The sequence below is a fragment of the Homo sapiens genome, chromosome 9 (genome assembly GCF_000001405.40).
Source record: "Homo sapiens chromosome 9, GRCh38.p14 Primary Assembly".
NCBI classification, from domain to species: Eukaryota; Metazoa; Chordata; class Mammalia; order Primates; family Hominidae; genus Homo; species Homo sapiens.
This window is the reverse complement of record NC_000009.12, coordinates 133,764,337-133,777,219: the sequence shown is the minus strand read 5'-3', so window position 1 is coordinate 133,777,219 and position 12,883 is coordinate 133,764,337. Positions and strand designations below refer to the sequence as shown.

General features: G+C 51.1%; 1 protein-coding gene across 7 annotated transcripts in view, besides 1 other annotated feature; it reads left to right on the top strand.

Moving 5' to 3' along the window:
• Positions 1-12,883, top strand: part of VAV2 (vav guanine nucleotide exchange factor 2) — a 230,431-nt gene that overhangs the window by 215,105 nt on the left and 2,443 nt on the right. For 5 of the 7 annotated variants that reach the window (NM_001411028.1, XM_017015109.2, XM_017015110.2 and 2 more), the window contains 6 exons: positions 1,140-1,192; positions 2,169-2,285; positions 5,174-5,261; positions 6,719-6,842; positions 7,717-7,803; positions 8,624-8,778. In NM_001411028.1, the coding sequence (NP_001397957.1) occupies positions 1,140-1,192; positions 2,169-2,285; positions 5,174-5,261; positions 6,719-6,842; positions 7,717-7,803; positions 8,624-8,778 (624 nt within the window). The remainder of the gene's footprint in view (positions 1-1,139; positions 1,193-2,168; positions 2,286-5,173; positions 5,262-6,718; positions 6,843-7,716; positions 7,804-8,623; positions 8,779-12,883) is intronic. The other 2 variants (NM_003371.4, XM_047423845.1) reach the window with 1 other exon arrangement.
• Positions 2,088-2,314: a silencer, noted in NCBI's record as "fragment chr9:136640028-136640254 (GRCh37/hg19 assembly coordinates)". NCBI's record gives its function as "represses an EF-1alpha promoter that drives an FKBP-Casp9 reporter gene in an ReSE screen in phorbol 12-myristate 13-acetate-treated (for megakaryocytic differentiation) K562 erythroleukemia cells {active_cell/tissue: K562(+PMA)}" and the evidence as "EXISTENCE:reporter gene assay evidence [ECO:0000049][PMID:32094911]".

Sequence of the window (12,883 nt, the reverse complement as noted above, 5' to 3'; positions counted from 1 at the left end):
GGCTGTGGGGCAGCACGCTCTCCTCTGTTTAAAGGGCTCAGCCGATCGGGTGTCGTTTCGTTGTGGTTTTAGAAACACCAAAACAGGCATTTCTGCAGCAGCTGTAATGGGGTGAAGACCAGCCAGCTGCCTTTCACCAGATTTCGGGGACTCTATAAGATCTCTTGGACTATTGCGCAGCCTTAGAGAGAAAAAAAGGCTCCCCTCAAACATAAGGATTCAAAGCTAGACTTTATGCTATTTAAAACAGAGGCAATATGGTATTTCTTTCATCTGAGGGATATGGAGCGAATTCTCGGCTCTGTGATGAAAGGCAGCAGGCAGCCTTGAGTAAATGAGTTACCCCACCTCCACCCCGAAAGGACAGCTCAGAGTGAGAGCGTGGAACCTCTGAAGGTGCAGGGGTGGGTTCCCAACCCCACTGCGGCAGCCCCGGTGCTCCCCGACCCCAGCCCCAGTCCCGTCCGCCTGTGTGCTACCTCTGCTGAAAGGGCAGGTGCTCAGCACTTAGGGCACTTTGCGTGACCAAGGGGACCAGGCGGCAGGGGAGGACAAGGGTCACAAACTCACTAGGTGGCCTGGGGCAGGTTCCTTCCCTTCCCCAGGCCTCAGTTTCCCCATCTGCATGGTGAATAGGGTGCGAGGGAAGAGGTAGTCTCTGAGGCTGTGCCCAGCCTGTGGCCCAGTGAGGCCAGGGTGGGGGGCTGTAGCCAGGGAGGGAGCCCTACCTGCTCACTGGAGCGGCAGCACCTGCCTGAGTGTGGCCACCACCAGACCCCCACCCCGGGGTTTCCAGACCTCTGGAGCAGGGAGCTTGGCTGTGGGTGTCTCACATCCACTGGCTGAAAACTTCCCGCACCTTCGGTCCTTGCTGTCCCAGGGGATCAAGTCAGTGTTAGCTGGTGGCTATGCCGACATCTGTTCCATCAGACCCACGGGGCATCTACTCAGAGATGAGGTTGTCCTGGCCACGACCCTTGGGCACCTCCCAGGCCAGGGGCGCTGGGGCTAAGTCCACAGACAGTCCCCTCCAGGGCAGCCAATGTGGGGACAGGGCAGTCACTGACAATGACCCCCTCTGAGCCCTGCTCTGTGAGTGGCCCTGGGGGGCCGTTAACACTCTTGTGCTCTGCCACCAGCCGCCCATCAGCCGGCCGCCATCCCGGGAGATCGACTACACTGCATACCCCTGGTGAGTGGATCGTGGGCTGCAGACATGGGCATCTGGTGGCCTCTTTGTTATGGGGGCATGCCCGCCGGGTCTGGGTGGTGCCTGTGAGCGGCCCAGCAGGGTGGAGGCCCCAGGCTGCCTGTTGCCATCTCCAGGGCACTGAGCCCAGTGGCTCCCAAATGCCTTCTCCCTCCTGGCCTATAACTCTCCAGGAGCCTGGGGGAGTCCTTCTCCTGTAGGCAGCTGTTAACCCTCTCTAAAACAGCTCAACTGGCTCAGATATTTCAGGGAATTAAACCCTTTTTGAATTTTATCTGCACTATATAAAAGTGGTATATTTGAGGTCACAGGTGTAATCCACTTACTGACAATACAGTTGCTTGGTGGGAACAGTGAGGCTGTTTGAAATCACAGAAGTCCCAACTGTCCTGACAGTGTGGCAGCAGATTTTGGGAGAGAGCTTGCCTTGCCCTCTCAGGGTGGGCTTCATTGCAGTACAGGTGGCAGGAAGAGCTTCGTTTCAAAATCTGTTCAAAATTCAACTGACATGGATGTTGGCAATCTCCAATGTGTTACCAAAAAAATCCACATAAGCAGTTATGCCTTTACTGCTTTTGAAATAGTGAAAATATATTTTAGGAAAGAAATTGGATCTACTGAATACGCTGAACTCCTCTGGCAGGCCCTTGGGGTCTGTAGAGCAGAAGACAGCATGTGGGACTGGCTGGTGGCCACAGTCACCCCTCTATTTAACCCCTCTCAAGATCTGTCCTGAGCCTCACTGTATCCCACTGTAGGAAGGGTCAGATGCCAGACCCCATCCACAGTGGTGCCCCGCTCATAGGGACCCAGCCTGTTCTCTTGGGTTCATTAGGAGATGAGCTCTCAGATGAGGACTGCAGAGTACTTCATGTGGCCTGCCACGCACGGAGGGCTGGGCACCCCTCAGACACTGTCCTCACTGCGGCTCTCGTTTCCTCCCGGCCCCCTCCTGTAGGTTTGCAGGTAACATGGAGAGGCAGCAGACGGACAACCTGCTCAAGTCCCACGCCAGCGGGACCTACCTGATCAGGGAGCGGCCTGCCGAGGCTGAGCGCTTTGCAATAAGCATCAAGTAAGTGGCGGCTCTGGGCTCGAGGAGACCCATCCCCCAATGCCGTTCTGAAGTGGAGAGCACCATCCTCTCCACGTCCTGAGCTCGTGGGGTTGGGGTGGACATGTCATCTGTTGCCAAGTGAGGACATTATTGAGATGAAAGCGGTGCTGAGGGGTCAGGGGGTCTCTACAGGTGTGCTGGGCAGGGCCTGAACCCCTGGCATGCACAGATGGTCCATGCTTACATCACTCCTGGCTGCCCTGTGGGCTGGGTTGGACATTTCTGGGTCATGGGAACCAGATAAGCTCAGGTACAAGTGGGTGGGTGAGATCCTGTGTGAGCTCAGGGATTTCCCAGCAGCCCCACAGGTTGAGAGAGTGGACCTGTCGTGCTGCTCTGAGGCAGCCAGGGGCCTAGGAGGGTGTCTCCTGTGACTACTGCTGCCTTGCGGCTTTGGCACAGTCTGGGCATCCTCCTGCCCTATGCCCTCTCCCTGGGAGCCGCCTCCTTGTGGGGCTGCAGTTAACTCTCCAGGAGACCGACCCTGATGGGCTGGAGCCCACCAAGCACTGAGCTGGTGGGACATTGCCCACCTGAAAGAAATTCTCAGAAAGCCTTCTGTGTGCCTGGCCTGCAGGAGGCTAAGATGGGCCTTGCCGACCAGGAGCTGGGGGTAGGGCGCACACACTCATGGTGCACATTAAATCCAGGGAGAAACAAGATGGGTGCTGTATGAAGGCCTCACAGAGGACCAGGCAGCCAGGCCACCATTTGTTTAATGACTGTTTATTACATTAGCTGATTTCCAGATGTTAAACCAACCTTGCATTCCTGGAATGTCCCACTGGGTTGTGGTGTGGAGTCCTTGCTATGTGTCTGGTTTATGTAGATAAATACAGTCATCGGCCACATAATGACATTCCAGTCTGTGAGGGACCCCATATGTGGTGGTGGTCCCGTAAGATTATAATGGAGCTGAAATGTTCCCATGGCCTGGTGACATCATAGCGCAGCCCATTACTCATGTGAGTGTGGTTATGCTGGTGTAAACAAACCTACAGTGCTGCCAGTCATATAGAAGCATAGGACAAACAATTCTGCACATACATAGTATGTGATCATCGTAATACATGAATGTGTTACTGGTTTATGGATTCACTATACAGTGCTTTTTATTTTAGAGCATACTCCTTCTACTCAGCAAAAAAATACTTAATTGTAAAACAGCCTCAGGCACGTCCTTCAGGAGACATTCTAGAAGAAGGCATTGTTGTCTTAGGAGTAAAAACAACAACAACAAAGAAAAAAAACAGGAAAGCTTATAGAATAAGGATACAAAGAATAAAATATCTTTGTACAGCTGTGTAATATGTTTGTGTTTTAAGCTAAGTATTATTACCCAAGCTTCAAAAAGTTAACAAAAATTAAGAAGTTTATAAAGTTAATTTACGATTGAAGAAAGAATGTTTTAAAAATAAATGTAGTGTAGCCTCAGTGTCCAGCGTTGATAAAGTCTACAGTGGTGCACAGCAATGTCCTAGGCCTTCACATTTACTCACCACTCTCCAGCTCACCCAGAGCAACTTCCAGTCCTGCAAGCTCCAGTCATGATAAGCACCCCATACAGCTGTCCTGTTTTTTATCTTTTCTACTGTGTTTTTACCATACCTTTTCTAGGCTGACCTCATGTTACAACTGCCTACAGTATTCAGTAGGTCTGTAGCCCGGGAGCAATAGGCTTTGCCGTCCAGCCTAGGTGTGGGGTGTGCAGTAGGCTCTGCCGTCCAGCCTAGGTGTGGGGTGTGCAGTAGGCTCTGCTGTCCAGCCTAGGTGTGGGGTGTGCAGTAGGCTCTGCCGTCCAGCCTAGCTGTGGGGTGTGCAGTAGGCTCTGCCGTCCAGCCTAGGTGTGGGGTGTGCAGTAGGCTCTGCCGTCCAGCCTAGGTGTGGGGTGTGCAGTAGGCTCTGCCGTCCAGCCTAGTTGTGGGGCGTGCAGTAGGCTCCATCATTCAGCTTAGGTATAGGGTGTGTGGTAGGCTCTGCCGTCCAGCCTACATGTGGGGTGTGCAGTAGGCTCTGCTGTCCAGCCTAGGTGTGGGGTGTGCAGTAGGCAATGCCATCCAGACTTATATAAATGCACTCCGTGGCGTTCGTACAGTGATGGAAGCACCTGCCTGCATCTCTCAGGACAGGTCTCCCTGGTTAAACGCCGCCTGACTGTATGGGAGAGAGATTTGGTCTGCCAGCTGCTTGCTAAGGATTTCTGCATCCATAGTCATTAGGGACATTGGGCTGTAGTTTTCTTGTGATGTCTGTGTCTGGCAAGGGGGTGGGTGGCATTCAGGGGAGGGATATGGGGGCTCCTCTGTAAGGTCACATTTGAATTGAGACGTGAGGACATAAGGGGGCCTTGAGGACAGAAGGAGGTTAGTGTCTGGCAGGGGCAGCAGCCGGTGCCGAGGCCCAGACAGGCTTGCGCTCGGCACCTCTGAGGAGCAGGCCCGAGGCCTGGCCGGCCAAGTGGACATGCAGGGAAGGATGTCAGGAGATGTCAGGGCTGGGCCCGGCTGCTCCACAGGGAGGAGGAGAGGCTCCTGGTACTGAAAAGCAAATGAGCAGAAGCCCAGGACAGGAGGCCTCAGCAGGGCTAGAGGCCAGGAGAGGCGGGGAGCTGAGCAGCCAGGGGTTCCGGGCCCCAAACGAGCAAGGAGGGCAGGCAGGCAGGTGGCAGGAGCTGTCTGGGGCTGGTGGCCCGAAGGGCTGGGGTAGGACAGGGCTGACAGGGAGTGGCCCTGGGGGCCAGGGACGAGGGGCTTTGCTGCAGCAAACACAGAATGAGCCTGGCTGCCAAGGGGGCCGGGGCCGTGTGGCCCTCACGCGGTGACCGCCGGGGCCGTGTGTTTGCTCAGGTTCAATGATGAGGTGAAGCACATCAAGGTGGTGGAGAAGGACAACTGGATCCACATCACAGAGGCCAAGAAATTCGACAGCCTCCTGGTAGGTGACTTCTGGCTCCGGCCGGCTCCCACCCCAGCCACAGGGGACAGGTGCTTCCTCCCGGCCCTGAGCGAGTGGCCATGTTTTCTGTGAGGATTGATTCTTCCCAGTGTGGCCAAGATTTAGGGAATTGGTTTTTAAGGCACTAGGACAGCTAGAGCTATGTCCCAGCCTCCTGAATTGGGACTTCTGACCCCCAAAGCCTGAGCAAGGTGGTTGACCCTGGTAAACAGTGCAGGGGTGGGGTAGGGGCAGCCCAGGCCACCAGCAGCCCCAGATTCCTCTCATGCCCATCCTCCTGCGAGAGCAGAAACTGACGCCCAGTGGGGCTTCCAGCTGGGGCCTGGCCGGGTAGCCCCATTACACATGTATGGCTTCAAACAGCTTCTTCTCCGACTCACCCCCACCCTCTGTCCCAGCCAGAATGCAGTTAGAGGCATAGTCCTTGAAATGATTTTAAAGTTATGCCTACATTTTCTTTTCTTAATTACAAAAGTTGTATATATTGAGAACTCCTGATTAGAGCCCCCAGGCTCTTAGCTTCCCCGCTATGGCCACAGAAAAGCACAAGGTCAAGCAGAAATCCATAATCTCGGGCTGAGCGTAGTGGCTCATGCCTGTAATCCCAGCACTCTGGGAGGCCGAGGTGGGTGAATCACTTGAGGTCAGGAGTTCGAGACCAGCCTGGCCAACATGGCAAAACCCCATGTCTACAAAAAATACAAAAATTAGCCGGGCATGGTGGCACACGCCTGTAGTCCCCCCTACTTGGGAGGCTGAGGCACGAGAATTGTTTGTACCCAGGAGGCGGAGATTGCAGTGAGCCGAGATTGCGCCCTTGCACTCCAGCCTGGGTGACAGAGTAAGACTCTGTCTCAAAAAAAAAAAAAAAAAAAGAAAATCCATAATCCCATCCCCACCTCCAAAAAAACAAAAGCGGAAACCAGCGTTGGCATCTCAGTGAGTCCTCAGGACCTCTCTACACACAGCTTGGGTCTGGTTTCTATTATATAAATAATAATGCTGGCAATGCCCCAGCTGATTTTTAGGCGACTTTTCAAGGCCACAAACATTCACCATTAATGAATCTTCCCCTGGCTGATGGCCGCATGGCTCTCTGTCACTTGGAGATCCTGTTATTTCTAGAAGCTTACCCCAAGTGCTGGGTACAGAGTGTTTCCATTCTTTCCTTTATAAAGGCTGTTGCAGTCAGTGTCCGTGCTGGTCAGTCTTGGCATCTTTTGCAGATTATTTTTTCTAGAAACATTTGGGGGAGTTGCTGGTACCTTCGAGGTACTGACCACCCACCATGGGCTGGCGGGATGTGGGGAGTTCTGAGGAGTCCAGGAAGCTAGTCTCCCCCACATGAACCAAGAGGTGGGAGAGGGAGGCCAGGTCACTGGGGGAGGACTTCCTGGAGGTGGCAGCAGCTGTCAGTGAGTGTGTACGCCCTGCAGGAGTTGGTGGAGTACTACCAGTGCCACTCACTGAAGGAGAGCTTCAAGCAGCTGGACACCACACTCAAGTACCCCTACAAGTCCCGGGAACGTTCGGCCTCCAGGGCCTCCAGCCGGTCCCCAGGTAACGCCCCGGCCCAGCCGGCACACCAGCACTCCTCGGAGGGGTCTGCCCTGGCCCACTTCCCAGGGCTCAGATCCTGCCCTCACAGACCCAGACCAGGAGTCCCACCCTGGGGAACACAGCCCCCGCCCCTCCCCCAGCCATCGCAGATGCTGTCATGTGGCATCTCCTGGGCCATGTGACAGGCGGGGACTCTGCACCTGCTCAGAATTGCTACTCTGTGTCTTGGCTTCTTCACCCAGAGACCAGTGGGGGTTGGAGGGGCCAGGTCCAGGCAGAGACCCCTGCGCATGGAGCTGTCACAGGTGGGAGAGAAAAGGGCAGGCCCACCTGTTCCCAGATCCCTCCCTGTGCCCAGCCCCTGGGCCTCCTCTGTGAGAGGCAGCCTGTTTGCAGGTTGGACTCCACAGCTCAGAACAGGGAAGGCCACACGGAATCAGGGGCAGGGGCAGGCCCCGAGCATGCGGCTTCCCGCTCAGGACTCTCTCCAGAGTCACCCCACGTCCTCCAGCCTGCAGGGTCCTGCAGGGCCATGGGTCTCACACAGGCCGAGCTGGACAGGAGAGGAACAGCTGGCCTTAGTGAGCACCTGCTATGTGCCAGGCGAGGGCATGAGAGGAGGTGGTCCCAATTTGCTCTCGAGTACACGGGTGCATAGAGTGGTTCCAGGGTAGCTCAGGTGTGGCCGAGTGGCACCTGTGCCTGGGTGGGGCTTGACAACCCGTGCTGCCCCCTGCCTCCTTTGCCCCCCTGTAGGGCCTCTCCTGCCAAAGGGCCTGCCCCACCCCATGCCCCCCGGCCTGTAGCTGTGCCCACCGTGACTGTGCGTGGATGCCCTGCTGCCCGCCTCACGTTCTCTCTCGCCTCTTTGCAGCTTCCTGTGCTTCCTACAACTTTTCTTTTCTCAGTCCTCAGGGCCTCAGCTTTGCTTCTCAGGGCCCCTCCGCTCCCTTCTGGTCAGGTACCGCTGCTCCCCAGGGCGTGGGGGGACCGGGCCTGTGGCAGCTGCCTTGGGAGACCCAGCACGGAGCTGCCCACTGGCCCCACAGCCCTGCCTGACGTGGCCACAGTTGTCCGCAGTCTGGCACTGGGTGGAGGGGAGAAAGGGGCTGGGGAGGCCGGGCAGAGGCTGCTGCGAGCACCTGAGGACACGTCAGGCTTGGCCCTGCCATTGTCACCACCCACCCCCTGTGGACACGCCCACCCTGATGGCCACTTTCCCAGCCCCGTCCACTGTCATTCCTCCTTGTTCATCAAGAGCTTTGCCTCTGGTAGCAGAAAGCAGGTGGCCACGAGGAGGAGCTGTGGGACTTGGGTGCAGGGAGGAGGGGTTTTCAGTCAGCCTTGACCTCATGGCTTTCGGCTGCCAGAGTCAAAGTCCCTTCCCAGCAGCTGTGTGTGTTTCGCCCTCAGCCATGGTCATTGTCACCTGTCTATCAGGATTCTGCATCTGGGCCAAGCTGGTTCCACTGGGTTTCTGGTTGGATTTGGGGGACCACTGGAATGATGATGGTCAAAGCCTGGGCACCTGCTCTTGTCCCTAAGAACATCCTCATTGCAGGGACTTGGATGTGCTGTGTCCCCAGACCCAGAGGGCAAGGGGCCCTGGGATTGGAGGCCAGTGTGTCCCTCCAGAGCCTTTCTGCTTGACATCCTTCCTCTCTGGGTACAGAGCAGGGTTCTGGGCACCAGGGGAGAGACCCAGCTTGGCCCAAGGGCCTCCTGGATCACTGGTTGGGCTCCTCCTGCAGCTGTGTGATGCTGCCCATCTCCCTCAACAGTGTTCACGCCCCGCGTCATCGGCACAGCTGTGGCCAGGTATAACTTTGCCGCCCGAGATATGAGGGAGCTTTCGCTGCGGGAGGGTGACGTGGTGAGGATCTACAGCCGCATCGGCGGAGACCAGGGCTGGTGGAAGGGCGAGACCAACGGACGGGTGAGTGGCCCCACCCTGAGGGTGTGGGGCTGGCCTCGCTGCAGCCCCTACCTGGTCGGGCTCAGGCAGACTAGCACCACACCTATGTCCACACCCCAGGCCCTGTTCCAGACACCCTCTGCAATCTCCCTCATCCTCACAGCAGCCCAGAAGGTTGGCATTCACAGGGGGAAACCGAGGCTCCAGATGTTTACCACGAACCCAAGGTCACACAGCCAGAAATCGGCTACAGAGGTCTGATGCGGATCCAGGCTCCTAGGAACCCCCCGACCCTGTTCCATTTTTATTCTGGGCTGCCCTCATAGCTGCACTCGCCAAATTACTTGCAAGTCCCCAAGCTCTGTTTGCGGGAAGGGAGGTCACAGGACTGAGGAGGACACGGTGTCCTTGCTGGGCTCCTCCTGCCATTTTCTAAGGCCCTATCTATGCCCTGGTGAGGCAGTAGGGACACAGTGTGTCCCCAATCCCTTCACACTTTCCCAAGTGCCAGGTGGGCCTAAGAGTGCCCTGGCCACCCTAAGATTCTGCATATGTCTGTGGCCTCTTCATCCCAACACCCCATCTGGACCTCTAGCTTTGACCCATGTCTCTCAGTACCTATCCATCCAAGCACCAGAGCTCCCTGTGCCACCAATTAGAAAATGCCCAGCTTTCTCTGTGAGCTGCAAGCTGCACAGGGCAGGTGGATGGGGCTTCAGAGGGCCAGTTAACCTTGGCTCCCAGTGCTGACCCTTCCATTGTCCAGTGGCCGGAGCAGCTCTGCCTTCACCTATCAGTCTGCCCCTTGGAGGCCCTCAAGTCTGACCCATTTTTTACCCAACTGCCCTATAGAAGTGTCAAGGCTACTGAGGCTTAGGTAGCCCACCTAGGGGGCTGGGACCACTGGTTCTCAAAGTGGTCCTTGTGTGATTGGCATTAAAAGTGCCTGAAGCTGTAATTTAATAAGCACATACCTGGGCTCTTTCCCAGATCCAGGTATTTTCTATACAGCATTAAGTTTTAGAACAACTAGTTTGAGTATTACTGGATAATTCCTGTCAATTTGACCCTGTTACCATTATGAAACGTCTTTTCTTTTCTCTGGCATTTATTCTTGCTGTAGTCTCCTTGATCTGCTTTTGTGACACCAGCTTTCTTGGGATTACTGCTTTGTGTGGCATATTATTTTCTCTCATACTACTTAAACTTTTCTATTTCCTTATATTTAAAATGGATTTCTTATAAATAGTTGGGGAAGCCAGTCTGGTCTGACAGTCTTTGGCTTTTAATAGGCATATATAGCCCATTTACATTTAATGTAATTACTGAGCTGTTTGGGTTTAAATTATCTAACTTTATTTTCTAGTTGTCACATCTACTCCTTTTTTCTTCTTTCCTGCCTACTTTTGAATTAATCAATATATTTTTAATTCTACTTCCCCTGCCCTACATTGGTTTGTTAGTTACACACTTTTTTTCTTAAGTGGTAACCTTAGACTAGAGGTTACCTTAAATGAGTACTTTTTTACTATTTCCCAGACAATGCAAGGAAGGACCTTGCGACTTTTGATTGCATCCATTTTCCTCCCAACTTTTGTGCAAGCGTTCTCATGTATCTTAATTCTATATATATTCAAACCTTAGAAGACATTGTTTTTGTTTTTTTGTTTTTGGGATATATATATATATATATATATATATATTTATTTATACTTTAAGTTCTAGGGTACATGTGCACAATGTGCAGGTTTGTTACATATGTATACATGTGCCATGTTGGTGTGCTGCACCCATTAACTAACCTAATTTACATTAGGTATGTCTCCTAATGCTATCCCTCCCCCTCCCCCTCCAGTGTGATGTTCCCCTTCCTGTGTCCAAGTGTTCTCATTGTTCAGTTCCCACCTATGAGAGAGAACATGCGGTGTTTGGTTTTTTGTCCTTGTGATAGTTTGCTGAGAATGATGGTTTCCAGCTTCATCCATGTCCCTACAAAGGACATGAACTCATCATTTTTTATGGCTGCATAGTATTCCGTGGTGTATATGTGCCACATTTTCTTAATCCATTCTATCATTGTTGGACATTTGGGTTCGTTCCAAGTCTTTGCTGTTGTGAGTAGTGCTGCAATAAACATACATTGGAGAGGATGTGGAGAAAGAGGAACACTTTTACACTGTTGATGGGACTGTAAACTAGTTCAACCATTGTGGAAGACAGTGTGGGAATTCCTCAGGGATCTAGAACTAGAAATACCATTTGACATTGTTTTTGTTTTAGGCTGTTGTGCTTATTTAGATTTACCCCGTGTTTACCTTTCCCAGGGCTCCCCATTTCCTCCTGCATTATTGTATTTCCACCCAACACCATTTCCTGCTGCCTGACATCCCTTCTCTTTCATATTTTTTAAAGCATATCTGCTATTAATGAATTCTCAGTTTCTTTTGAATCTAAAACCATCCTTATTTCACTTTCTTTTTAAATATTCACATTGTAAAATGTTTGTAACATAATTTTGAAACAAAATTTCAAACGTACAATTTCAAAATTTCAACTTAAAAGTGTCAGTAACCTGCCCAGATTTACCAATTGTGAATGTTTTGCCCCATTTGCTTTATCATTTGCACTGTGTGTGTGTGTGTTTGTCTATTTCTCTCTAACTCACTTGAGAGTAAATTGCAGAAATCATATTTCTTTACCCCTAAGTATTTCCTAAGACCAAGGACATTCCCCTTTGATATAATACAATTATCTAATCCACTGTCCATATTCAAATCTTACCAGTCATCCCAATCATGTCTTCTCTAGCTCTTCTCTCCTGGTCCTGGATCCAGTCCAGGATCATGAATTGCATTGACTTGCTGTGATCCTTAACTCTCTTTAATCTGGAATATTCCTCAGTCTTTCTCTGCCTTACATGACTTTTACACTTTTGAAGAGTTTGAGCCAGCTATTTTTATAGGATATCTCTCAATTTAGGTTTGTCTGATGTTTCTTCATGATTAGATTGAGGTTCCATTGGGAACACCACAATGGGGACGTTGGCACTTTCTCAGTGCCGTAGTGTCCTGTTAGGACATGAATTATGCCAGTTTGTCTCATTATTTGTGACATTAACTTTGATCATGTGTTTAAGATTATATTTGCTATGTTCTACTGTGAAGTTACTGTTGACTGTAATTAGCAAGTAATTTGCAGGGTAATACTTTGAGGTTAGGTAAATATCCTGTTTCTCTTCAAACTTTCATGTACTAGTTTTATCTTCCCTTGATGAATTTTATCTATTCTATTATTTCTATTATGGCTGAAAAATAGTGATTTTTTGACTATCTATAGATATTAGTTGGCATTCTACTGTAAGGAAAACTTTCTTTTCTCCTGTACTTATTCATCGTCCCCCAGGAATCAGTCATTTTTCCAAGGAGACCTAGTTCCTTTTTGTGAGGAGTTGTTTTGAGTTCATTTTGAAGTTCATTTGAAGTTTTGAGTTCATTTTACTATAATCTGCCTAGGTGTGATTTTCTTTTTATTTATTCTGCTTAGGATTTGCAGAGATTTTTTTGAACCTGTGGCTTGATGTCCATCACTTTTGGAAATTTCTCAGCCAGCATAGTATCTGCAGACTGTGTGTCTGTTCCATTTTCTCTCTTTTCTCCTTGTAGGACTTCATTCACAAGGATGTTAGAACTTTTTACCATGGCCTCATATTATTTCCACAATTTTATGTGTTTTTCATCCTTTTTTCTCTCTGGTTTTCTATCTAGTCACTTTCTGGTGACCTGTCTTACAGTTTGTCTTCTCTTCTGCTTTGTCTAAATCCCTCTATTGGATTCTTCATTTCATTCATCGTATGTTTCAGTTCTAGGATTTCTATTTGATTTCCGATTTAGGTTCTCTGGTAAAATTGTCTGCCTTTTCATCCGTTTTCTTAAACGTATGAATTAGAGTTATTAATCTCCCCTGACAGATGACCTCAATACCTGTGGGTTGATTTCTACTGTCTGCTTTTTCTATTGGTTTTTGTCATTTGGTCCTGACTGAATGCCAAGCTTGTGTATTAAGAAAAAGCTGTAGTTGTTCTGGGTGATGTTCTTTTCCTCAGGAGGGTTTATTTTTTTTCTGACTG